At 43.6% G+C, this 27,438-nt stretch overlaps 5 annotated features.

The window, feature by feature from the left end:
• Positions 2,523-3,118: an enhancer, noted in NCBI's record as "NANOG-H3K27ac hESC enhancer chr12:25517951-25518546 (GRCh37/hg19 assembly coordinates)". NCBI's record gives its function as "activates a minimal SCP1, AML or CMV promoter by ChIP-STARR-seq in primed H9 embryonic stem cells {active_cell/tissue: H9 hESC(primed)}" and the evidence as "EXISTENCE:reporter gene assay evidence [ECO:0000049][PMID:30033119]".
• Positions 6,618-7,118: an enhancer, noted in NCBI's record as "H3K4me1 hESC enhancer chr12:25522046-25522546 (GRCh37/hg19 assembly coordinates)". NCBI's record gives its function as "activates a minimal SCP1, AML or CMV promoter by ChIP-STARR-seq in naive and primed H9 embryonic stem cells {active_cell/tissue: H9 hESC(naive and primed)}" and the evidence as "EXISTENCE:reporter gene assay evidence [ECO:0000049][PMID:30033119]".
• Positions 7,119-7,619: an enhancer, noted in NCBI's record as "H3K4me1 hESC enhancer chr12:25522547-25523047 (GRCh37/hg19 assembly coordinates)". NCBI's record gives its function as "activates a minimal SCP1, AML or CMV promoter by ChIP-STARR-seq in naive and primed H9 embryonic stem cells {active_cell/tissue: H9 hESC(naive and primed)}" and the evidence as "EXISTENCE:reporter gene assay evidence [ECO:0000049][PMID:30033119]".
• Positions 22,998-23,867: an enhancer, noted in NCBI's record as "NANOG-H3K27ac-H3K4me1 hESC enhancer chr12:25538426-25539295 (GRCh37/hg19 assembly coordinates)". NCBI's record gives its function as "activates a minimal SCP1, AML or CMV promoter by ChIP-STARR-seq in primed H9 embryonic stem cells {active_cell/tissue: H9 hESC(primed)}" and the evidence as "EXISTENCE:reporter gene assay evidence [ECO:0000049][PMID:30033119]".
• Positions 23,247-23,396: an enhancer, noted in NCBI's record as "active region_6117". NCBI's record gives its function as "activates an Ori minimal core promoter by ATAC-STARR-seq in GM12878 lymphoblastoid cells {active_cell/tissue: GM12878}" and the evidence as "EXISTENCE:reporter gene assay evidence [ECO:0000049][PMID:35858748]".

Below are 27,438 nucleotides of genomic sequence, written 5' to 3' on the forward strand. Positions count from 1 at the left end.
TCCCACCTCAGCCTCCCAAGTAGCTTGGACTATAAATGTGTACCACTATGCCTGGCTAATTTTTTTTTCATAGAGACAGGGTCTCCCTATGTTGCCCAGGTTGATCCTGAACTCCTGGGCTCAAGCGATCCTCTCGCCTCGGCCTCCCAAAGTGTTAGGATTACAGGCATGAACCACTATGCCTGGCCCTTCTCTAATAGGTGGCATTCTACTTTCTTTTAGGACCAAGAGAAAACCAATTCACCAAAGAAAGCTGGAGGTACAGGTATATCCTGGGGGATTAGGGTTGAATTCCATGCCTAACTTTTGGCAGAGAACGTGATTCTGAAAAGATGTTACAAAGATTTCCTTCAGATAAAATTCCGAGATGCCTCTGTCACATCCCATAAGATATGTTCCCAGCAGTTCTGAGGATACAGCATATTCTCAATGAATAGATGATTATTTGCCTTGGAATCTGAAATAGGTACGCGTTTTCATTAGGTTTTTGCTGTTCACTAGGGATTTTTATATTTTAAAAATAAAAATATATACCTAAAAAGATTTTTATATTTGAAAAGAAATTAATACCTTTGCATTTTGCTAATGTTTAAAAATTTGGGCTGGTCGCAGTGGCTCACACCTGTAATCCCAGTGCTTTGGGAGGCCGAGGTGGGAGGATCATCTGAGGTCAGGAGTTCAAGACCAGCCTGACCAACGTGGTGAAACCCCGTCTCAATTAAAAATACAAAATTAGTTGGGCATGGTGGCACATGCCTGTAGTCCCAGCTACTTGGTGGCTGAGGCAGGAGAATCACTTGAACCCAGGAGGCGGAGTTTGCAGTGAGCCGAAATCACACCACTGCACTCCAGCCTGGGCAACAAGAGCGAAACTCTGTCAAAAAAAAAAAAATTAGCTGCTGGGTGTGGTGGTACACACTTGTAATCCTAGCTGCTGGGGAGGCAGGAGGATTGTTTACACCCAAGAGTTTGATACCAGCTTTGGCAACACAGTGAGACTCCATCTTTATTAAAAAATAAAATAAGAATTATCTATAAGGTTTTATAGTGTAAGCTATGGTAGCCAGCCTCTGAGGGCCGCCCCCACCCCCTGGCCCCGATTCTCACCTCCCTTGGTGTTCGTGCCCTTGTAAAGTCTTTTCCCACATGAAGCCAGTGCTGCTGTGTGGGACCAGTAAAACAAACAGATGGTTTCTGAAGCTAGGTGACTTTGCAGCTGTACCTTGTCCTCTTGTATTATTTACTCTAAATGAAGTCAGATGCCATGTTATGGATATTGAAATAAATCTACAGAGTGGCATACGTGGAGAGAAACTAAGTTCCTACCTATAGTCACCACCAACTTTCCAACCATGTGAGTGGGCCATCTGTACCTGGATAAAGCTTTTACATGTCAATCTCAGTAGACATTTGAGCAAACCTCATGATAAGACCAAGCCTGAACTGTCCAGCCAAGCCATTCCCTAATTCTTCTGGCCCATTGTTACAGTGAGAAATAATACATGCCATTATTTTAAGTCACTAAATTCTGGGATTATTTGTTACACAGAAATACAGAACTAACATATAAACTAACAAGAAAAATAAATCTAACAAATATTTCTGAGTAAACTTAACAGCAACCTTTTCTTCTGAAATGCGAAGTCAACCTTAAGAAGCCAAATTAGACCACATTACTACAAATGGAATATATTTTCTGGTTCCTTTTTCCTATTGAGTCTGCTATTTTAAGAAGTACGCATCTCTAAGGCACTCTATTTCTTTTTCCTTTTTTTTTTTTTTTTTTTTTTTGAGACGGAGTCTCGCTCTGTCGCCCAGGCTGGAGTGCAGTGGCGCGATCTCGGCTCACTGCAAGCTGCAAGCTCCGCCTCCTGGGTTCACGCCATTCTCCTGCCTCAGCCTCCCGCGTAGCTGGGACTGCAGGCGCCCGCCACCATGCCCGGCTAATTTTTTGTATTTTTTAGCAGAGAGGGGGTTTCACCGTGTTAGCCAGGATGGTCTCCATCTCCTGATCTCGTGATCCGCCCGCCTCAGCCTCCCAAAGTGCTGGGATTGCAGGCATTTGCCTTCAGCCAGTGAGATCTTTGTTGCAGGGAGGACTAGAAACACTTTTTCTTCACCAGTAGTACAAACTCAGGCAAGAGCTGAGGTCACTAGCAAAATAATACAAAGTAGCAGAGGAGCAGTACCTCTCCACCCGCACCCAACTGAGTTTTCCTTTAAATGCTAAACAGACCAAGACCTTAAAAAAAACACATGCAACAAAAGTGCTGCTGTTCATATATTTAAAAACTTTTGTGGTTTATTTGTGCTAAGTAACTTGTTGAGAAAATGTGTGTTATTGAAATATTTTTAGCAATGTAAACTCTCTGTTAATTGCTAAAGGAAGGGGTTTTTGGAACCACTCATGCTAATATTTGCTTTCCTGAGCACCAACTGTCCGTTAGCTACACGTTCAAAGGATTGAAAAGAAAAGAGTGTTAAAAATTGTAAAGGGGGAAGAAAGGGAAAGATCTATTTTTAAAAAGAACCATTTTTAGAAAAATTTAACTTCATCTAGGCATTCTTGCAAAGGTAACGATGAATTGCCCTTAGTGTCTAAAATTAAAAAAAAAAAATTAACATCAAGTAAATATGGAAATACGCCCTCCCTTTAGCTACAGGGCTTAAAAAAAAAAACAGCAACAGAAACCAAAACACTTCAAGTTAAAAACCATTGTCATCTAGAAAGTAGATTAGTGGTTGCCTGGGGCTGGGGGTGGGAGGGAGGAGAATGACTGTTAATGGGTTGAAAGTTTCCTTTTGGGATGATGAAAATGTTCTAAAACTGGATTATGATAATGGCTGCACTGTTCTGTAAATATGCTAAAAACTGTTGACTTGTACATTTTAAATGGATAAAATCTGTGATAATTTAATTACATCTCAATGAAGCTGTTTTTAAAAATTGTAATTGATGACCTTGAAAATATTCAGCTAAAGGATTAGCAATGTGCAAAGTCACCAAAAGAATGGTTCTGTTTCAAATGCTTTCCTCCCACATCGAAGCAGTTACATGTGCAGAGCTAAAGTTCACATCAAATTTTAAGACACCCCAACGGTATGTTTAAAAAACTCTCTAACAAGATATACAACTAAGAGGCTTTTTTTGAGCTTGAAGGTTTGCTTCACCATGTGCTCAGACAATAAATTTGATAGATTTTGAACTTGCTGTCAGAACTGAACGGCTAATAACAGTCATTTGCAGTTCCTATCAAGACAAATCTACAATGGAAAACTGAAATTCTTACAAGTGGAAAGACATGCTTTTCTTAGACATTTCTGTAACCACAGTGAAGTAGATCAGACATTTTGCATTTTAATTCTTTCAAAGGATTACAAATAAATTGTTTTCCTATAGATTACCTTAAATGTACAACAGTTGATATAAGTTTCATTTTGTTTTGTTCAGTTTTTCACTTCTGGCAATCTAGCAAATAAACCTGAATCTATGAGCTAGAATGTATTGGCTGTCTGTAATATAAAAGTTTTTTTGGGGAAAAAAAGGTACGTTTTTAAGTAAAAGACTAAAGATAATTAAAGGCACCCCAATTACAACTTTATACAGTTCAAATGAATAAAAGAAACCTATTATTATTAAATATCCCAGCTTCATATTGTAATGAAAGGTAATCAAATATTATATTTATAATGAAAGAAGCCAGAAACAAAAGACTGCATGATTCCGTTTATATCATATTCTGGAAAAGGCAAAACTCCAGGGACAGAAAACAGATCAGTGCTTGCCAAGGGCTGCCTATAAAGGCGCGGGAACTTTCTGGGGAATGGAGATGTTCTTTATCTTGATTGTGGTTGTCACTATATGATTTTGGACATGTGTCAAAGCTCATTGAACTGTACATTAGAAGGGGATGAATTTTAATGTAAATAAATTATGCTTCAAAATCTGATGTAAATATATAATTATGAATACTAGATTTAACTAGTCAAAGAGTATGCTGTTTGAGTTAACTATATGATGCTGAAAGTATACTGTGCCATCAAGCAAAAATTGTCTGCATTTATTGAAAGTTTTATAGCTACCAAAAGTTTTTAAAATCTTTGTTGTAGAAAACTTGAGGAGAAAAAGGTTCTAAAACAAAAATCTCACTACCCAGATAAAACATTTTTGGGTTGTTTTTGAGTGCATCTTTGTTTTTTTATATGTCACCCGTGTGTATAATTCTTATGTGGTTTTTGCGAAGATTTTTTTGCACACACACACATAAAACAGATACACACACACACATACATACATATATGCATGAGTGAAACAGCTCATTTCAATAAATATTTTTCCAAGATGGGCTTTTTCATCATCTATTTCCTCATGTGTAAAAATCAAGATTCATTCACTTCATTGAATTAAAATGAAATGAGATAAAGTAAACAAAGTATGTAAAAGTGACTGACACATAGTAAGCATTGGATAAATATTAGCTATTATCAGTTTTTACATTAGGGAAAATTATAATGTGGGTGGTCTGCTACCTCAACAAACAATAAAGAGGCATCTGCATCAAGGAAACGGGACTCAAATACATTTTAAAAATCATATGCAGTGGGGACAATGCCATGGTAAACAAACACACATGGGCAAGGTGGCCTTGTTTTTATTGTCAAAATATTGAACACCTATCCAGAGAAGACATATAGTAGTCCCCGCCTTAAAGGCAGGCAAATCAGTTTCTGTTGTTTCTGACATCTGTTGGGCTTCGGTCTTGCCAAAGACACCCCCAACCTGCCCCATACTGGCCCAACAGCCTGTTCTTGCACAACCCCATCTGTCCCTCATTGGACTGTCCATTTGATGGGGGAATCTGGTGAGAAAGAACCTGGATTACAAGGCAGGGAAATAAGCCACTGGTAGAGTGCAAGAGGGCAAAAGCCAAGAAAAAACTGCAATGACCCTAACAGAGCTCACGCTGACCAGCAAACTTCCATGGATCAGTCTAGATAAAAATGTTAACACTTCATGCTAAAATTAGCTTCTGCAATACAAATGATTGAATGCTTTATAAGATACTTACTTTCATCACTCACTTGATGACAATCATTTACTGTATCCTCTTGTAATTTCTGTATTGCTTTTATCATTATAACTCCATAGTAGCTATAGTTTATTCAAGGCCTACTAAGTTCTCGCTATTCTAGCTACCAAGTTTTTTCTCTATATCTATACTGATATATGTGCATATCTGGCATATACACATATATATGGCAATGTTACACACCTCATAGATAAAGTAGGAGAGATTTGAACCCAGATTTTTTTGAATTAGAAGGCACATCTTTCCATGTGTATTTGTTTCCCATTTTAATGTGAGTTGCTTGAGGAAAATAGCAATGTGCTATGTGTCTATTTTTTTCAATCTCTACTGTGTCTACTTAGATGTAATATGTGTAGCAGATGCTCATATATTATTATATGAGAACATAATTGATTCATTAATGCTCATCACAGAGAGCTGTTGTAATATTTAATCCTATATAAAAATATCATTGGAGGTATATTTGCATTAAGAGTTGTAAGGAAGGGATTCAACCCTAATTAATAACAAAATTGATTTATAACTTGCCATTGAAAGAGATAGTAATTTTATTTTTAAAAAAATGAAACAAAGATGACAAAAGTAAAAGTATTTCCATTTATCACTACAAGGCTTGGAGGCATACTCATTTAAATTCCAATGAATTTAAGATAACATTTGATTGTGGTTGTGATGATTTTTGTAGACTGGTGTTTAATACCCTTTCCATCATCTTTCCAATGTGCCTGCCTATTCTGCAGAAACTGGAAGGTCTCCCAGACTCCTTGCAGCTGGGTCTCAAAATTTATTTGGATTCAGCCAGTGTGAAACATTCATGTGAGAGCAAACCTTGCTTCTGTTACCTTGTCTGTCAAGCACAGTTGTGGAGGTGTTGGGCTTTCTGTGACAGCATTAGTAGAGCACCCTCACTGTCTAGTCATTAGCTTCATGGTTAAAAACGGCAAGAGGTAGGGCATGGGTTTTGCTGGTATGGATTATGATAAGTATGAAGCAGTTCTGAAGCCAGTAGGTATGGCAGTAGGTATGGTGGCAGTGGTAATGTAATTCTAGAACCTGCAGCTTCCTGACTGGAGAAGAGGCAATAGCTACCTTGGTGGTCCAGTTCTGTGGCATAGCTTTGTGAGTTGTCCTTAAAGCTCCACCTCCAGTCTGTTTCCTCAGTATTTCAATGGTTCTTAAGCCAGTTAATACCCCATAATAAATCCTTTCCTGCTTAAACTAGCTTCAGTAGATTTTATTCTTTGCAAATGAACCCTGACCATTTCAGAAATGAAATGGATTACAGGCCTCTCTAAAGAAAAATTAAATGGATGGAGGCACAATACTGTCAATCAATACAGTAATCAAAATGACTCATGAGCCTAGCTAAAAAAAATGGATTTACATTGTAAATTTAGATGGACACTCTCTGTCTATTTGTAATCTAATGAACTCCAAAGAGAAGGTCAAATACTACATGCAGATAGAATATTACCATATTGACCAGGACTTATAAATTTATGATATCTTCATAAATTTAGCACTATTATTTAATAGTAATGTGCGGTATGGCTGGGCATAGCGGCTCATGCTTACAATCCCAGTGCTTTGGAAGGCTGAGGTAGGAGTAGAGGTGACAGCGTGCTGGCAGTCCTCACAGCCCTCGCTCGCTCTCGGTGCCTCCTCTGCCTGGGCTCCCACTTTGGCGGCACTTGAGGAGCCCTTCAGCCCACCGCTGCACTGTGGGAGCCCCTTTCTGGGCTGGCCAAGGCCGGAGCCGGCTCCCTCAGCTTGCAGGGAAGTGTGAACGGAGAGCAGGAACCGGAGCTGCACGCGGCGCTTGCGGGCCAGCTGGAGTTCCGGGTTGGCGTGGGCTTGGCGGGCCCCGCACTCGGAGCAGGCGGCCGGCCCTGCTGGCCCCGGGCAATGAGGGGCTTAGCACCCGGGCCAGCGGCTGCGGGGGGTGTACTGGGTCCCCCAGCAGTGCCAGCCTACCGGCACTGCACTCATTTCTCTCTGGGCCTTAGCTGCCTTCCTGCAGGGCAGGGCTTGGGACCTGCAGCCCACCATGCCTGAGCCTCCCACCCCCTCCGTGGGCTACTGTGCGGTCTGAGCCTACGCGATGAGCGCCGCCCCCTGCTCCACGGCGCCCAGTCCCATCGACCACACAACGCCTGAGGAGTGTGGGCGCACGGCACAAGACTGGCAGGCAGCTCCACCTGCAGCCCCTGTGCGGGATCCACTGGGTGAAGCCAGCTGGGCTCCAGCTGGGCTCCTGAGTCTGGTGGGGAGGTGGAGAACCTTTATGTCTAGCTCAGGGATTGTAAATACACCAATCGGCACTCTGTATCTAGCTCAAGGTTTGTAAACACACCAATCAGCACCCTGTGGTCTAGCTCAGGGTTTGTGAATGCACCAATTGACACTCTGTATCTAGCTACTCTGGTGGGGCCTTGGAGAACCTTTGTGTTGACACTCTGTATCTAGCTAATCTGGTGGGGACGTGGAGAACCTTTGTGTCTGGCTCAGGGATTGTAAACACACCAATCAGCACCCTGTCAAAACAGACCTCTGGGCTCTACCAATCAGCAGGATGTGGGTGGGGCCAGATAAGAGAATAAAAGCAGGCTGCCCCAGCCAGCAGTAGCAACCCGCTCTGGTCCCCTTCCAGACTGTGGAAGCTTTGTTCTTTCGCTCATCGCAATAAATCTTGCTGCTGTTCACTCTATGGGTCCACACTGCCTTTATGAGCTGTAACACTCACCGCAAAGGTCTGCAGGTTCACTCCTGAGCCGGCAAGACCACGAACCCACCAGAAGAAACTCCGAACACATCCGAACATCAGAAGGAACAAACTCCGGACACGCCACCTTTAAGAACTGTAACACTCACCGCAAGGGTCCGTGGCTTCATTCTTGAAGTCAGTGAGACCAAGAACCCACCAATTCCGGACACAGGAGGATCACTTGAGACCAGGAGTTTGTGACCAGCCTGGGCAATATAGTGAGCTGTGGAAACTCTGTGTTTACCAAATAAATAAATAAAAGTGATAGGAGGTATAATTAAATAGTACTTTTTTTTTTTTTTTTTTTTTTGAGACGGAGTCTCGCGTTGTCACCCAGGCTAGAGTACAATGGCATGATCTTGGCTCACTACAAACTCCGCCTCCTGGGTTCACGTGATTCTCCTGCCACAGCCTCCTGAGTAGCTGGGATTACAGGCGCATACCATCACACCCGGCTAATTTTTGTATTTTTAGTAGAAACAGGGTTCCACTATGTTGGCCAGACTGGTCTCGAACTCCTGACCTTGTGATCCGCCCGCCTTGGCCTTCCAAAATTCTGGAATTAGAGGCGTGAGCCACTGTGCCCAGCCGATTAAATAGTACTATTTAAATATGATAGGGCTGGGCATGGTGGCTCACACCTGTAATCCCAGCACTTTGGGAGGCCAAGGCAGGTGGATCACTTGAGGTCAGGAGTTCAAGACCAGCCTGGCCAATATGGTAAAACCCGTCTCTACTAAAAATAGAAGAATCAGCCAGGGGTGGTGGAGGGCGCCTGTAATCTCGGCTACTCAAGAGACTGAGGCAGGAGAATTGCTTGAATCTGGGAGGCAGAGGTTTCAGTAAATTAAGATCATGCCACTGCACTTCAGCCTGGGTGACAGAGCAAGACTCCGTCTCAAAAAAAAAAAAAAAAAGATATTAGGCTGGGTGCAGTGGCTCACACCTGTAATCCCAGCACTTTGGGAGGCTGAGGCAGGCGGATCACTTGAGCTCAGGAGTTCGAGGCTAGCCTGAGAAACATGGTGAAATCCCATCTCTATGAAAACTAAAAAAATATTAGTCCGGTATGGTGGTGGGCACCTGTAGTCCCAGCTACTCAGGAGGCTGAGGTGGGAGAATCCCTTGAGTCCCTGAGGCGGAGGTTGCAGTGAGCCAAGACTGTGCCACTGAACTCCAGCCTGGGCAACAGAACCAGACCCCATCTCAAAAACATTTTAAAACTATATAATATTAGGTATGATTAAATAGAAGTGGGAGGGAAGGAAATACGTGATTAAACACATGAAAAATAGCATTTTTGAATAGAAACTTTAAGATATGCTAATTATATGAAAACCTACTAATTTTATTTAGTTATGAGAAGTCTTAAGTAAAGCCTGCGGTGCTTGTTCTTAGGTGTCCAAGAATTAAAAAGCAGGAGCCCCTAAAAGAAGTGGGAAAAGTGTTTGAGAATACTGGATTAAAAGGAGAGCCCTCCCTGAGAAGTTTTGCTTGGCAGTCTAAAATTACAGGATATAAGTGTAAAATTTTATTTTGAAACCATATAATTAATTGGGGCTAGACAACTTACTGCTAAGGACTTTGAACTTTCAGAAGGAAAAAAATAACCAAAATGTAAAATATGAGGACAATGATCTATTTGAAGGAGATTTTCCTGGAATGGTAGTTATAGCCACCATAACAACTTTCATAATGCTTTAACTTAAAATAGTTGAAAGCCAGCTTTATAGTATCATCTAGGTGCCCAGCTTAAGTCATCATGAATGTGTCAGCAATGTAGAACTGCTATTTAAAAAGAGCTGACATGGTGCTCCAGTATATTAACTGAAATATGACACACAAAAACCATGAAGTAATTTTCCCAGTATATGTAAGGTTGGTCAAGCCCATATTAGAAACTCACATCCAGTCTGAGGTTTCATATTTTTAAAAGAATGTGGAGAAACTAGAAAGGATACAGAACATAGCACAAAGAATGATGAAAGAACACTGGGCATGAAATGGGTATGGGAACTAGTTTTACTTAGCCCTAAGAAGGCTAAGCTAAATGGTTTTAATATGTAACAGTGTTCTTGGCTATAAAAATAAAATAGGCAAATTACACTTAGAAGGCCAGGCACGGTGCCTCAGGCTTGTAATCCTAGCACTTTGGGAGGCCAAGGCAAGTGGATCAACTGAGGTCACGAGTTCGAGACCAGCCTGGCCAACATGGCAAAACCTCGTCTCTACTAAAAATACAAAAATTATCTGGGCATGGTGGTGCACACCTGTAGTTCCAGGTACTTGGGAGGCTGAGGCAGGACAACAGTTTGAACCTGGGAGGTGGAGGTTGCAGTGAGCTGAGATGGCGCCATTGCACTCCAGCCTGGGTGACAGAGCAAGACTCTGTCTCAAAAAAAAAAAAAAAAAAAAAATTACACGTAGAAGTCCTAACCACCCAGACAGTAACAGCACAGAATTAAATAAATAGGAGCATAAGGCTTGTAACAACACTTAAGTAAGAATTGGATCTACCTTTTGTTTCCAAAATAGCTAGCCAGACCAGCAGAGAGAATCTCCACAATGTGAAAACACCAGAAAAATAGGACTCCAGCTGAATGATAGAAACATTGTATTTGTGGATTGCTGAACAAATATTAACATATTTCAATATAGGAAGGAATAGTCCCCTTATTATTAATAACACAGAAAACAATTCATGGAAGACCAGCATGCTGTACTAATTGCAGACATTTTCAGAAGCAGAATAGGTCATTTGCATAGGCATCCAGCTAGCTGTACTGGCAAGTTGAAGCAAGTTTCATGAAAAATTGTATAGGATATACTTAACATGTACTGGCAGATTTAAAACTCCAGTAGTAACACTCTTTAAAGCTGGACTGCATGCCAACGGGAAACAAACAAACAACTGGCCCCGGCTGAGTCCTTGTCCACTTTCTGTGAAGCATCTGCCTTGCCAGTCTCAGTGTTTTAAAGAATAATCTTGGTCATCAGGCTGGCTTCTAAAATAAACCAGGCTAGCATGGGATTAGAGAGGGCAAAAGAGCAGAAGGCAGTTTTCAAATGGCACTCACTGATTCTTTTGAAAACCTCCTAAAATATTTCAATAATTAAATGAGGGTCTTCAGTTGCCAAAAGAAAAAAAAATAGAATGACTGATTGTCAGAACAACACCTTAGATCTTGGGACACCCTGCTGACCACATATATCAGAAATGAGACCCAGTGGTTTTCTACAGAATCACAATTCAGATTTCTTGAGGGAAGGTGTGGGAGGAGTTTGGAGGGAAGACAGGAGGGAGTACAAATGTGGTGTTGCTAGAGAGGCTCTGAATGTTTTCCGAAAGTATATGTTACTCTGATGCTTTAACTTTGCCTCCTGAAGAAAGAGGCATAGAATTCCAAGTAGAAGCGCTATTAAAAAAAGAAGTGCAAGGAAATGTCTTCTTAGTCAAATGAAGAGTAGAATGCACAATTATGCAGTGGTCTTGAACACTTCCAGAATTCTGTTTGGATAAGCAGAAGAATGAGTTTCAGATATTCCCTGTAGTGTGGAAATCTGTGACTTGGTTACTGCCCTTTAAGCCTTGCTCTGGGCAACTGCTTCCCTCCCCAGCATCATGGGGTTCTAATAGAACTGTCAACCAAACAGCTCTGCCTTCCCCAGTACAGGCCTGAACATCAAGAGAGTCCCATTTCCTCGACACAGTGGTTAGTCTGGAGGGGGCCATGCAACCAAACTGGACCTTGGAGGTTGACAGGGATGCTGGGAAATAGATGGCATCTCTCTTTCTGAGGCCACCAGATAACAAGGACATGTAAACTTGGAAGGCCACCTTTTATCTTTATTTTTTGGCCACCAGGAGAGAGCCTGCAAGAGAATGAGGCCGAGGCAGAGCAGAGCTAATACACGGAGAGTGAAAAATAATCCCGATAGTGTCACTTGAGCCATATCTAACAATGGTGAAAGACTAACCAACACTTGGAGTTTTTAGCTTAAGTGAGTCAATAAGCTGCTGGGTTTTGTTGTTGTTGTCGTTGTTTGTTTGTTTGTTTTGAGACAGTGTCTCACTCTGTCACCCTGGCTGGAGTGCAGTGGCGCAATCTTGGCTCACTGCAACCTCTGCCTCCCAGGTTCAAGCAATTCTCATACCTCAGCCACCTGAATATCTGGGATTACAGGTGTGTGCCACCACGCCCGGGTAATTTTTTTTGTATTATTTGTAGAGAAAAAAATACAATACCTGGCCATATTGCCCAAGCTGGTCTGGAACTCCTGAGCTCAAAGCAATCCTCCCACCTCGTCCTCCCAAAGTGTTGGGATTACAGGCCTGAGTCACTGCGCCCAGCAATAAGCTTCTTTTGATGCATAAGCCATGTTGACTTAGCTTTCTGGTCCCTTGCCACCATAGGAGTTCTTGACTGCTGCACTCCCATTTTGCAGATTGGGAAACAAAAGCACAATTATTAAACTCTACGGTGAACAAGAAGTGAGAACATTCACTAAAACATTCACTAGTTCATAGGAAACTGATGTATATAGGTACAATTACAGTATCACCGTTTTAATTATTTGGATTGACACACTTTGGAGTTTGTAAGACATTTACAGTACAGGGGAGAAGGGCCTGGGCATTGAATCAGACAGCCGAATGCTCTGGCACTAGCCAACATTTAACTGCTGTAAGGTTTAGGTGGGAAGGGGAAGAGGGACACTAAACCTCACTAGGTATCAGTTTCCTCATCTGTAACATAGTAACGGGAAATAGTCCCTACCTCATAAAACTATTATATGGATTAAATGAGATAGTGTGTGTCATCTGTTGTTACAAAGGCTGTTTAATGATACAGTGGGTGGCACTTAGTAAAGATTCAATAAATTCCTCCTGTTTTTCTTGTTTTTGTTTTTTTTTTTTCCTTTTTCTGGAGAACGGGGTCTCGCTATATTGCCCAGGCAGGTCTCGAACTCCTGGGCTCAAGCTATCCTCCCGCCTCTTGCCTCCCTGAGAGCTGGGATTACAGGCATGAGCCACCACGCCCTGCAAATTCCTCCAGTTTTTCTACAGATTGCAAACATGAACGTTACAAACAAGTCCTAGGGGGAGGATAAATTTTGCAGGGGAAGAACTGTGCATTTCAAAACATTGAATTTCCTCTCCCACCATGTTAACAGACTCTACAAAACCATTCTAAATATTTATTAAAATTATTCTTTTAAAATTTAAAAAAAAATTTTTTTTTTTTTGAGATGGAGTCTTGCTCTGTTGCCCAGGCTGGAGTGCAGTGGCACGAGCTTGACTCACTACAACAACCTCCGTGTCCTGGGTTCAAGTGATTTCCAGCTAATTTTTGTATTTTTAGTAGAGACAGGGTTTCATCATGTTGGCCAGGCTGGTCTAAACTCCTGACCTCAGGTAATCCACCCGCTCAGGCTTCCAAAGTGGTAGGATTACAGGCGTGAGCATCTGCGCCCGGCCTACCTATAATCTTAAGTATATACGTAACAATGCTACAATAAGGGGGACTTTAAAAAGTCAGTAATTCAGATTATATGTTTTTCTTATCTGTCTTCCCATCCTCTTCCTGATTTCCTAATCCCAGGTTCTGACACTATCCTCCAACCTTGATCTAAGCAAATTTCAGGGAGGAATTAATCTACCTCTTTATCCTCATTCCGTATTTATTTGCCTATTTATGCTCATTTCTATTTTCTCACCTTCCCTTGCTTTGCTCTTTTTGCAAAAAGTCACATTTCCCAGGCTCCCTTCCCAACTGGCTTCTAGTTAGATTTGGGCAACTGAAGATAACGGGACAGCAGGAGGAGGAAAACCAGCCTGTATCTTCCCTTTCTTTGTTTCAGGGTGCTTCTCCCATAGTGACTGCCTCTCTTTTCTGGTCCAGCTGCCTCCAGGCAGCCATAGCTCCTGGACTCCGGTAATACCACCTGTCCCTTTGGTCCCTCCAGCTTTGGGGTAGTAGCCCTGCTCTGCCTTATTCCTTATAAGTTTCCTGTTTTCTATCCGCCTTTTCAGTTTTTCTAATGTCTTTTCAAACAAGTTCTCCATAATTAACTTTTTACTATTAAACTTGCTGGCATGGGTTCTGTTTTCCTGAGCAGACACTGACTGATAAGAGTTCTCCATATTCAGTTAGTAACCAAGCCTTGTCAATCTGTAGCTCTCTATATTTCTCTTCACCTTTTTTTGCTGCCCTAGTACAGTCCAGCAACTCATACCTAGACTAACTTCTCCATTTCCAATCTTTTGACCTTCAGTCTAATTCCCCTTAAAGACTTACTCCATGCAACCACAAAAAAAAAAAAAAAAAAAAAAAAAGGAAATCATGTCCTTTGCAGCAACACGGATGCAGCTGGTCACCATTATCCTAAATGAATTGACACAGGAACAGAAAACCAAACACTGCATGTTCTCACTTATAAGTGGGAGCTAAACATTGGGTACACATGGACACAAAGATGGGAGCAATAAACATTGGAGATTCCAAAGAGGGAAGGGAGGGAAAGGGGCAAGGATTGAAAAACTACCTATCGGATACTATGTTCACTACTTGGGTGATGGGATAATTAGAAGCCCAAACTTCAGCATCACACAATATACCCATGTAACAAACCTGCACATGTACCATCTGAATCTAAAATAATAATTTTTTAAAAGAGGACTATAACATGAAAAAAAGAAAAATAGTCACCTTATTTTGCCCTTGTCACTATTAACCTCATTGAAAACCCCTCCAGGCTTGGTGTGGTTGCTCACGCCTGTAATCTCAGTACTGTGGGAGGACTAGGCGGGCAAACTGCTTGAGCCCAGGAGTTGGAGACCAGCCTGAGCAACATGGCAAAAACCTGTCTCTACAAAAAATACAAAAATTAGCCAGGCGGGGTGGTGTGCACATGTAGTCCCAGCTAGCTGGGAGGCTGAGATGGGAGGATTGCTTGAGCTTAGGAGAAAGAGGTTGCAGTGAGCTGAGATCACACCACTGCACTCCAGCCTGGGCGACAGAACAAGACTCTGTCTCAAAAAAAAAAACCAAAAAAAGCAAACCCCACAAAACCCCCCCCAAATAACCCTCCCCTTCCCTGCACCCCCTCACCCCCGTAACTCTTTATATCTTACACAAGAGCTAAGCTCCTTAGCATGAAGGACAAGGCTTTTTACAACCCATCTCTACCCTAGCCAGCTTCCTCTCTTGCTTCTCAAGGTTCTAGTAACAGCACATTGCTTACAACACTGGCTCACACACCCACTCACATTATGTGCATACACACAGCGACTCATATAAACATCCTGCTCTTCCTTCTCGCTGGTCTTGTCAGTTTCCTTCTTACCTATCTACTTCTGGCTGACTTTAACTCTCCTTCAAAACGCATCTCAGAAAGAATGTCTTCTCTGGAAAGCTTCTCTGAACACCCACGCTGGGCTGCCTCTGGGCTCATGCATACTTCTATGACTGCAGTTACCATGTTTTATTAAGATACCCTGTTTACAAGTCTTTTTCACTTATGTGGAGTGCCTCAAGAGCTCCAAAAATGCCCTCCTCATTTGTCTATGCTTCCATACTTTCTATCAAGAGATACTGGTGGAAATGAACTGAGCCATATCCCCATGTGCCCTGGCAGCCCAAATTAGAAACCAGTGAGTCATCCTTAATTTCCTTCTCCTTTACCCCCACATCCAATTGTCAATAAGTCCTCACTATTTTACCTCAGAAATTTCTCTGATATCTTGACCCTTTCTCTCTCACTCCATAGCCACTACCCTAATCTTCTAAGTCTGTGTTTTTAAGCTTTCTTCAACCATGACCCACGGTAAGAAATACATTTTGCATTGTGACACAAGAAATGCATTCTGGGCTGGATGTGGTGGCTCACGCCTCTAATTCCAGCACGTTGGGAGGCGAGGCGGGCGGATCACTTGAGGTCAGTAGTCCAAGACCAGCCTGGCCAACATGGCAAAACCCAGTCTCTACTAAAAATACAAAAATTAGACAGGCGTGGTGGCTGGCACCTGTAATCCCAGGTACTTGGGAGGCTGAGGCACGAGAATTGCTTGAACCCGGGAGGCAGAGGTAGTAGTAAGCCGAGATGGCGCCACTGCACTCCCAGCCTGGGCAACAGAGCGAGACAAAAAAGAGAGAAGGGAAGGGAAGGGAAGTGTAGGGTAGGGTAGGAGGGGAGGGGAGGATTCTGTGAAAGCAAAATATCTTAGGCCTCCAAAATCACTATGGAGAACTCAAGCTGGAAACTACTTAGGGCAAACCTGCCTCTCATTCTATTCAAAGTCACCCCTTTGCTCACTGAGATAGATGCATATCTAATTGCCTCCTTTGGGAAGGCTAATCAGAACCTCAAAAGAATGTAACTGTTTGTGTATCACCTATCTGTGACCTGGAAGCTCTCTCCCCACTTCCAGTCCTCCTGCCTTTGCTTCAAGTTGTCCTGCCTTTCCAGACTGACCCAATGTACTTCTTACATACATTGATTGATGTCTCATGTCTTCCTAAAATGCATCAAACCAAGCTGTGCCCTGACCACCTTGGGTACATGTTGTCAGGACCTCCTGAGGCTGTGTCATGGGTGCGTCTTCAACCTTGCCAAAATAAACTTTCTAAATTATTTGAGACCTGTCTCAAATTTTCGGGGTTCATAATTCTGAAGTTCAGATTTTTAATAAAGTCACTTTTATATAAAACACAATTTTGTAAAATGTAGCCAAGAGGGAATCTACTCAAGATTTAAATCCAACAATTAACTATCCATGTTTTCCTCATTTTAACATTATACTTCATGGTTTCAATCTTGTCATACTTTTTATCCAAAATGACAGTGTCTATGTTGAAAGTTAACGTTTCTGTAGTTAAACATGCTAAATTTTAAGTAAGCTCACTTTCTTCATTTTAAATAGTTAAATCTATCATAGAGGAGAGTTTATTAAAAATTTAAACTGCCCAGAAAGTTTATGCATAACCTGTAATTATGAATACATAAAATGGGAGATGGATGAAACAACATTTTTTGGTTGTGACCCACTAAAATCATTTCAGGATTCACTAACGGGTTGTGAACCACAGTTTGAAAAACCCCTGTTCTAGGCTCTCGTGATCACTTGTCTAAGTTACAGTTACTTCCCATCTTGTCTCTTTGTCTCCAGTCTGGCTTCTGTGCAGCTACCTTTCTGAAAAAAGACAGCTCTAACCCTGTCACTTTTTTCTTAGAAAAAAAAAATGTCCTTGGAGCCTGACTCATTATTACCTGTAAAGTAAAATCCATATTTCTTTTCTTTCTTTCTTTTTTCTTTTCTTTTCTTTTTTTTTTTTTTTTTTTTTGAGACAGAGTCTCACTCTGTTGCCCAGGCTGGAGTTCAGTAGTGCAATCTCGGCTCACTGCAAACTCCACGTCCCAGGTTCAAGTGATTCTCCTGCCACAGCCTCCTAAGTAGCTGGGACTACAGGCATGTGCCACCATACCCGACTAATTTTTTGTATTTTTAGTAGAGATGGGGTTTCGCCATGTTGGCTAGGCTGGTCTTCAACTCTTGACCTCAAGTGATCCACCCGCCTCGGCCTCCCAAAGTGCTGGGATTACATGTGTGAGCCATCACGCCTGGCCAAAATCCATATTTCATAGCATGATATCTAGGGTCCTCCACAACCAGCCCCACTGTAATATTTCACCCTTATCTCTACCCAGTGCCCTCACTCTCCACTACACCTCACTTCCATGAACTTTCCCCCCACTTGCTAACTCTCCTATCTCCATCTTTTCACCACTGCTGTTCCCTCCACTTGACATGCCCTTCCCCTCCGGATAGGTCTGTTAATCCTACTTTATTCTTCCATAGCCAAGTATCAATGGCATTATTTCTTTATACCTTCTCCACCTTCACCCTCACCTCTGAGAGTCTCGCAGATTAATTGCTCCCTCATTCAACATAGGTACCATCATGTTGGACACAAAGTACGACAGGGTTGAAACCATAAAGTGCAATGTAGGGTTTATTACCTGGAAAATAAATGACAAAAAAAAATGGAGAGTTAATTGTTGTATTTAAATCTTGAGTAGATTCCCTCTCTTAGTTGCATTTTGCGAATTGTTCACATCGCATATAAAAGTGACTTTATTAAAATTTGAACTGCAAAATGCATTTCTTGTGTCACAATGTAAAATGTATTTCTTACCATGCCTCATGGTCGAAGAAAGCTTAAAAACACAGAAGATTAGGGCAGTGGCTACAGGGTAAGAGAGAAGGGTCAAATCAGAGAAATTTCCGAGGTAAAATAATCAGGACTTATTAAGGACTCGTTAAGCCTTGACAATTTTGGCATTTATCATAGTTGGCTTTATATGAATTTTAATAGGTACCTGTGTCATCCTTCTGAGCATCAGCCTCTTGAAGGCAGTCTGGGCAACATTAAAAGAGATAAAGACTGTAAAGCACTTGGAACACAAGTCGGCAGGATCAATAAATATACATTTCTTTTCATCTTCATTCATCTTTTGTGTCCTATCACCTAACCATATGATGCTCAATAAATGTGTGTTGACTTTCAGTACATAACTGACCACTTTACAGTTACATTGCATATTAATAATACTCAATATTTATACACTACTTTATATCTTACAAACTGTTTTTATTGTGATAATCCATGGGGTATATTGTAGGTAGGTAGGACAAAACAAATTCCAGTTTACCAAGAATGAAGCCAAGGAAGGACCCAGAGAGGCTGTGCTATTGGTCGAGGCCACACTGCTAAACTCAAATCTAGCCCTGACTCCAAATCTGGCTGTATCTTGTTTTCTTTTGGGCAGGACTATCCTAGGCCACGAATGCCTGCCTTGCAGTCACCCACTTACCAGTGGAGCCCTGCCAAGACTCAGAAGTGCCATGGGTCTCATTAGGTCCCAATATACACCTTTATATCCCCAGCCTTGACTCTCCCGAGTTTCAGTCCTACTTCTTCAAAGACATTATGAATAAAGTTTCTTTTCTGAAGGTAGCTTCCCTCAAAAAAGAATTTTGGGAGCCATGTTCCTCCTTAAAAAACAACCAGGCTGGGTGCAGTGGCTCACAGCTGTAATCCCAGCACTTTGGGAGGCTGAGGCAGATGGATCACTTGAGTCCAGGTGTTTGTGACCAGCCTGGGCAATGTGGCGAAATCCTGTCTCTACAAAAGAGCCCCGCCAAAAAATCAGCAGGGCATGGTGGTGTATGCCTACGGTCCCAGCTATTCGGGAGGCTGAGGTGGGAGGATCACCTGAGTCCGGGAGGCGGAGGTTGCAGTGAGCCAAGATAGCAGCACTGCACTCCAGCCTGGGTGACAGAGTGAGACCCTGTCTCAAAAACAAAAAACAACAAAAAACAAAAACAAACAAAACACAACCAATAAGCAGATCAACAGAGAAAATAAATGGAGGCAGTTTGCTTACTAACAACAGAGTGGCAATAAAAACTTAGGCCTAGGTTTCATAAGATGTCTTAAAACAATAAGCGATAATGATGCGGCATGTCTAGGAACCCACTCTAAACATCTTTCCCTTTCACTTGGAGGATGAAGGGTGACAAGGATGACAGGCACAAAGCATCAAATGGTAACTCCTAAGCTCCATTTTAGCAAGTGGTGGGAAAGACAATCCAGATTTACCCAATGTCTTTTACGTCCTGAGAACTCAATGTGCACATTTTTTTCTAATTCTCTCAACCCCAATCAATCAAACAGGTTCTTCCTGAGTGCCTACAACCATACACCTTGCCCTGTGCCAGGCATGGGGGAAATGGTGGTGACAGGACAGCTGCAATGTCTTTCCTGTGGAGCTGCCAGTCTAGGGCAGTGGCTCTCAGCCTTTCTCCCACCGTGACACACTGGAGGGGTGCAGCACAGGATGAGAACCAGGGGCACCCTGTGCTCAGTACACACTCATGGCAGACTGGGAATGGGGAGGAGTGGATGAGGTTTTGGGTGCAGATTGACAAAGTATCCCCAATGACTCTGCTGTATCCCCCTTCCATAGGAATAAGGACACAGATTCAGAAAAGTTAAAAGACGCTTAGAACACAGTGCACAGGTGCTGTGACGGGAAGTGTTTTGACCAAGCTGTAGGAGCACCTCCAGTGGAGCTGGGTGGGGTCAGGGACAGCTTTCTGGAGGAAGTGACATAGAGTAAGAAATGAAAGAGTAGTTGCAGCTGTTTAGTCAGAGAAGAAGGGGCATGAGGACGGGATGAGATGGGATGACAGCATTCATTGTAGGACTAGCCTATGCTAAAGCTCAGAGAAACAACAGCAGGATTTGGCATCTTTAGAGAACTGAAAGCATTAAGAGAGGCTGAAGCGTGGCATGCAAGCAAGATGAGCAGTGGGAGACTCAGGTATGGCCCAATTTTGAGGAGCTTTGTAACCCATGCCAAGCTTCATTCTGAGGGCAATGAGAGCCACTGAAGGGGAAAGATAGAGGAGATACAGCTGCTGGGATTTTAGTAGACAGAAGGCAGCTGACGGCCCAACCCGTGTTTAGCAGTTGGCCGTTAATTTCATGGGCTGGGTAAGGCAAAGAGGAGTGATAGCCAGGCTTTTACTTGAACAGCTGGGTGGGGACATAAATAGGTGGGGTAGATTCTTATCAGAGATAGCTGGGAGACAGATAATGAGCATTTCAGCTTGAAACATTTAAGTTTGAGGTATCCAAGAGGGAATGTTCTATATACAGTCAGATACAGAGGTCTAGAGCTCAGGAAAGAGGCGTGAGCAAGAAAGAGAAGCTGCAAGTGGTTACAGGGGCATGAACGGGCAAAATCACTCAAGGAGAGTGTGTTGAGTGATAAGAGACTGGATTTAGGGGGGAACACTGAGAAACACTAGCATTTAAGGGACTAGAGGAGGCCAGGCACAGTGGCTCACTCCTGTAATCCCAGCACTTTGGGAGGCTGAGAAAGGAGGATCACTTGAGTGACCAGCTTGGGCAACATAGCAAGTCCCCATTTTCACAAAAAATACAAAAATTATCCAGGCATAGGGGTGTGCATCTGTAGCATCAGCTATTTGGGAGGCTGAGTTGGGAGGATTGCCTGAGCTTGGGAGATCAAGGCTGCAGTAAGCCATGATTGCACCGCTGCACTCCAGCCTGGGCCACAAGGCAGCAGAGGAAAATGTCAGGAGTAAGGCTAACAGCAGATGGGTGGCAGGTTAACTTCCACCTTACAGAGGAGGAACTGGGTCTCAGACTCCATAGCTTATCTAAGGCCATCCAGCTGGGATGGGGCAGAGCTAGTATCAGGTACTTAGCTTCCAAATCAATCATTTTTATTATAGACAATTGTCGTTGCACAAACAGGTACAGCCCCCTCCCCTTAAACGTTTCCTCATTTGAATTTCCCTTCCCGGACATTACTCACAGGCAATACTTCCAAACCACTGGCAGTTTCCCTTCCCTGGCTCTTTCTTGTCTAGATGCTAATGATCAGAGGATAAGGCAACCAAAGGGGAAAGCAAAGAGATTTATCTGGCCTTGATTTAGGTTATCAGCTAATTCTGAACATAACCTCACTCCTAATTTACATGATAAATCACTCAGTTCTTATTTTCATTTATTTAGTTTGAGACAAGGTCTCACTTTGTTGTCCCGACTGGAGTGCAGGGGTGCCATCTTGGCTTACTGTAGCCTCAACCTCCAGGGCTGAAGTGATTCTCCCTCCTAAGCCCCCCAAGGAGCTGGGACTACAGGCACGCACCACCACACCTGGCTCATTTTTGTATTTTTTATAGAGACGTAGTTTTGTTAGGTTTCCCGCGCTGGTCTGGAATTCCTGGGCTAAGATGATCCACCCGCGTTGGCCTCCCAAAGCTCTGGGATTACAGGCGTGAGCCACCACACCCGGCCAAATCACTCAGTTCTTTAGTTTCCCTGTAGGTTTAATGAGGAGAAAAGAATCTGCCATTACCCAATGGCCTGAACTAGGAGTAAAGTGCTTATACAAAGATTAATCATTAAGCGACTTTATTATAGGATACTGTTGCAAACACGAGGCAATGAGAAAATGAGCTTAAGTATCTTGGGTTTTCCTAAAAAGTATCTCTTACATGAGGACACACAAAAAAACATGTCACCTGACACCTTCCGTGTTTAACCGGGACTAGGTTTATCGAAGTTGACAGGATAGCAGGATTGAATGAAAGTCTTTGCCTTCCTGGTATGAGGTGAGCCTGGAAGGTCCCCACCCAGACCTCTCCCCACTGTGATAATGCGAGAAGTTAAGAGGCTTTGGAGTCAGACTGCCTGGGCTCACCTTCTCTCAGCTGGTGGACACACGGATCCTCAGAGTCTGTTTGCTTATCTGTAAAGTGGGGTAACAGTACTGGCTTCAACCAGCTACTATGAGAATTAAATGTGATAATGACTGACAAAGCAGGCAGCATGCTGCCTAGAGCGTAACAGTCCATAATCATTAGCTATTATCGTCACCTTCGTGTGTGTTAAGCTTTGCCTAGGGGTGGAGTGGGGCAGGACCCTAGAACTGGTTACTAAGGTTACCTTCTAATGACCCTGAATGTAGGAGTGAGGGAACGACGGAGCAGGTGAAGCTAGTGTCAAACTCTTGAACGTGTTCCAAGAGGTCATTGGTACTAAATCACAACATTCTGTTTCACGTTTGTCCCTAAGGGATTTTTAACAGCAGCGACAAAACCTCAAGAGAAGGGTCCCTGATAGGGAACAATCTTGTGATCACATCCTTAAATACCGAGAAATGAGACCCTTCACAACGTGTTAAGAAATCGTCCAGTCCTGCATGCTGCTAGGATCTCTAACCACTCACCACTTGTATTCCTGGGGTGGACGTGAGCTCGCGCTAAACTAAGGACACCAGCCGAGCATTCAGCGCGGTTCCCTACGCCCTCCAGGAATTTTGGAAAGCTATCCAAGCTCGGCGCTATCTTTAAAAGGAATGAGTTGTGGCTCCTAACTAGCTTGCCGAGGAGAGCGTAGAGTGACACGGGACGGGGGCCCAGGGCACTGAGGCCAAGAGTTCCCGAGTCACGCCAGTGCTCGCCCCTTTGGCCTTTGCCTAAAATCCTGCGATGCCTCGCTGACAAAGCACCCAGTGCCAGAGCCTGCGGCCCAGCGAAGCTGCTCCCTGGAAACACACACACACACACACACACACACACACACACACACACACACACACACAAAAGGGGGTGGGGAGAGGGAAAGGTTTAGGTTTAGGAGAGGAAGCCAGCCAGCCAGCCCTGCAGATGCAACCGTTGCAATTTGGGTCTCTTCTGTCTTCTGACGTAATGCCAGTTTCCTGCTTTCGCGCTGCAGTGTGCAGTTCGCTGCTGGGAAGTCAGATCAATCGATTGAACGCCAAGATCATCACTGCCACTATCTTGCGATTTATTTTCCACGAATACACTTTAATTGGCCCGAGCCCCGCCCCCAAATTCCACGACTTTTGGCTTTTCAGGAAGCATTGTTCTCCCCTCCCCCCAGGAAGGCCGCCTCTACGCACAGCCAGCATCAGGAAACGGCGCCGCTCGGGGCTCCGATGGAGAGCCGGGGTGGGGTCGGCTCAAACCTTCTGCCCCCCGCTCTTTTGAGATTCCTGATCCCTGGCTTTGTCTTAAGCAAAAGTACTGTAGAAGCTGCAGCGTTTCCTCCCCCTTTCCAGAAACCGAGCGAGGACGTGGGGGAAAAGCCACCCTGGAACGTGTAAGGACGCTCCCCCACGCCCAACACGCCACAGGGCCGGGATGCGCGGCTGCCGCCCCGCCACCTCACGCGCGCAGCGCTAACTGCAGCTCCGCAGCCACCGCCGTCGCCGCCGCCCTGCCGAGCCCGGGGAGACTCCCAAGGGCTCTTTAAATACGAGCTATAAATACTACAGGCGCTCGGCGCGTGCGTCACGACACATCCGGCTCCCGATTGGGCGGCGTAACCTCGCTTATTTGCATAGGCCGATTGCACAACCGGGCGGCGACCTCAGCCCGGTGCTCGTGCCACGCCTTCCCCACTTCTGCGGGCACGCGGGGCCGCGGGCGGGACAGCGGGGTGGCGATTGCGGCGTCCAGAGTCCCTTGAACTCGGGAACCTTTCAAGTCCTGAGTCAGGCGGCGGTCCTCCGGGACGCCAGTGCCTCTCAGAAGGCTCAGTTTTGGCCAGCCAAGGGCTTACCGTTTAAACTGGGTCTTTTTTATTTCTACAGAAAAGGATAGTTTTCAGAGTGACACCCCAGCAAACGCTCTGGGTGGCTCGCAGAGGCTGAGTTTAAACCACGTGAGACCTGGCCGCGGCGAGAGTCCTGTCCAATGACTTGCGACTTGGGGTGTTCAAAAAGGGCTTTTCGCATGATCTCTAATAAGACCTCGTTATCTTGAAAACGAAACAGGGAGGGTTCGAAAACGCAAGATGTGTAATGCCTTGTGGTTTAAACCTAGTTTTTAAAAAATGCACCAATGAGCCAATATGAAACAGCGACATGGAGACTTTCCCCCATTGCGGCTCTGGGGGTAGAGAATCTCTTGTAGCAATGGAAAATGTTCAGCTCCTTGATCCAGACCCGAGTGGATTCTCTCCAGGGAGCGGGTGGGTGGCGAAGGTCAGAGAGAGGGGAAAAAAGACCACGCTTTGGAATTAGGGAAGCAACCCAGTGTTGTGGGTGTAGAGGCACCGAGGATTCTGTTGCAGGGGGTGCCAGTGATTGCCCTGTATAAATACGTAGATACTATTATATATTAATATTAGGTTGTTACAAAATCGTCTGTGTCTTCAGGATGCAAACTGAGAATAGTAGCTGTTTCTGCTATTTGCTCCAAACACCGCTATATTATAGTGAACTCTTTACTTTTGAGTGGGATTAAATACAGTGACTTTTAATGCCTTCGCTTTGCTTTACAATGTTCTTCCCTTAAAATGCTCGTGTCATATTCTAAAGTTCTAAGCCTTCCTGTAGCGATACGGGGATGACTGCTTAAGTATATATGTTGGTGTCTTACACAGTGGGTCCTCAGCAAATATTAGTGGAATGAATCAGACATAAACATTTATTCAGAAGAGTTAACTAAGCATGTACTAATAACAAAGACCTTATTAAATTATATTTCATAATTGTTCTACTTTGACATCCCCCCCACCGCCCCGAATAAAACTTAAAGCTCAGACGGACTCTTGTTATTTGAAGACAATACTTTCAACTACTGCTGAAGGTTGGATGTGTAGCGAATATGCTGTCCTAACAGCTTTTTAAAAAGAACTGCGGATTTTAACAGAAGAGCTCCCCCTGCTGTCAAATGGTTTATGGGCAACGCGCCTGGAACGTCTAGAACACCTGGCATGGGCCCACTGCAAAGCTGGAAAGCTGACCTTCAAGATAGTTTTCACTGAGACTCATCTCTTAAAGTTACTTTTAATCATTTATTGACAAGCAAGTGTGATCATTCAGTAGGGAATACTACCTGAAATATCTTTCTCATATCCATAGCAATCGAAACCGGTTTAAAACCAATCTTGATGATATTAAAGTAAAACATGGATTTGTTTCACAGTCATTATTCTCTGCGTTAATATACACCAATGTAACAAAAAAAGTTTTAGTCATCAAAATAGTTTTCCCAACAATTTTAGTACTGTACAGGTTGAATCATCAAGATGAACTGATGTGAATGCACACTACTTACACCAGTCTTACACCAGTCTTTCCCTTCTCAGCTTGTTTCCCTGTGCCTTCATTACTGTTTCTAGTATTCCAGACCAAGAATAAGTACGCTTATAACCACTGCCTTCTTGGTAATAGTCTTATTTTTCTTTTTCCTTAAGTGTTTTAAATGTGACATTCCTTTTTACTAATTTGTTTCTTTGTCGTCCTTATTAATATGCCAAGATGAAAACATATTTTTAAAAAGTCCCAAGTAACTGTGTAAGTTGAAAACTGCACATCTTGGCTGTTAGCTTCCATTGGTTTTCAGAACTGTTCATCTTGAGGAGGAAACAGCTACCTTCAGAGGTCGGCTGCTGGTACAGCTTTGAGTCACTAGGAGGTAAGAGGATAACTGGTAAACCACGAATGAAGCGATAAAGGAGGTGTGTCTCTACCATAAATGCTAATGTGGGCAATTCAGCTGCATTTTTCACAATAAGCACTTTACCACACTTTATAGAAGCATTCAGATAATGATCACCAATTATTCTGTGGTTCTCCGTGCTCTCTCAGTTGCAGAGGCAGCAATGGAAATAAGAGTTGGTCTTTATGCAGGAACATGTATTTAGAAAACGCTTTGGTATTCTACAGGGCTGGGAAGAGACTCTGTTCTTTTGTTAGCCAGGGGTAAACAGGCCAGCACTCTCATAGAAGTGAGAAGTACTCCTGCTGCTCTATGAACTGGGTCCTGTTATGGGCTGAATTGTGTCCCCCCAAATTGGTATGTTGAAATCCTAACTCCCCAGTCCCCCAAATTTGTCTGTTGAAGTTCTAATTCCCAGAGACTATATTTGGAGACACGGTCTTTAAAGAGATAATTAAGGTTAAATGAGGGCATTCGTGTAGGCCCTAATTCAGTATGGCTGGTGTCCTCATAAGAAGAAGAGCTTGGGTAGGGCACGGTGGCTCACGCTTGTAATCCCAGAACTTTGGGAGGCTGAGGCGGGTAGATTGCCTGAGCTCAGCAGTTTGAGACCAGCCTGAGCAACACAGTGAAACCCCATCTCTACTAAAAAATACAAAAAATTAGCCAGGCATGGCGGCGTGCACCTGTAATCCCAGCTACTTGGGAGGCTGAGGAAGGAGAATTGCTTGAACCCGGGAGGCAGAGGTTGCAGTGAGCTAAGATTGTGCCACTGGGTGACAGAGTGAGACTCCATCTCCAAAAAAACAAAAAAAAAGAAAGAAGAAGAAGAAGAGCTTAGCTGGGCGCGGTGGCTCACATCTGTAATCCCAGAAATTTGGGAGACTGAGGCAGGTGGATTCCCTGAGGTCAGGAGTTCCAGACCAGCCTGGCCAACATGGTGAAACCCCATCTCTACTAAAAATACAAAAATTAGCCAGGCGTGGTGGCACGCGCCTGTAATCCCAACTACTCAGGAAGCTGAGGCAGGAGAATCGCTTGCACCCGGGAGGCGGAGGTTGCAGTGAGCCGAGATCGTGCCACCACATTCCAGCCTGGGCAACAGAGCAAGACTTCGTCTCAAATAAATAAATAAATAAATAATTTTTTAAAAATGAAGAGCTTGGGATAGAGACAGGTGCTTGCATAGAGGAAAGACCATGTGCAGACACAGAGAAAAGGAAGGCACCTGCAAGCCAAAAAGAGAGGCCTCAAAAGAAAGTAAACCTGCTGACACCCTGATCTTGGACTTCTAGCCTCCAGAACTATGAAAAGATCAATTTCTGTGGTTTAAGCCACTGAGTCTGTGGTGCTTTGTTATGGCAGCTCTAACAAACTAACACAGGCCCATTTTCCCAGTTAATAGTCCAGGAACCACATCTTTTTCATATGTGTAGTCATGAGTTCACCACACCTCAAGCCAGTTCTAAGGTTAGAAAATGGATATTGGATGTTGGTGCCATCAGAATATG

Source organism: Homo sapiens, chromosome 12 (assembly GCF_000001405.40).
Source record: "Homo sapiens chromosome 12, GRCh38.p14 Primary Assembly".
NCBI lineage: Eukaryota > Metazoa > Chordata > Mammalia > Primates > Hominidae > Homo > Homo sapiens.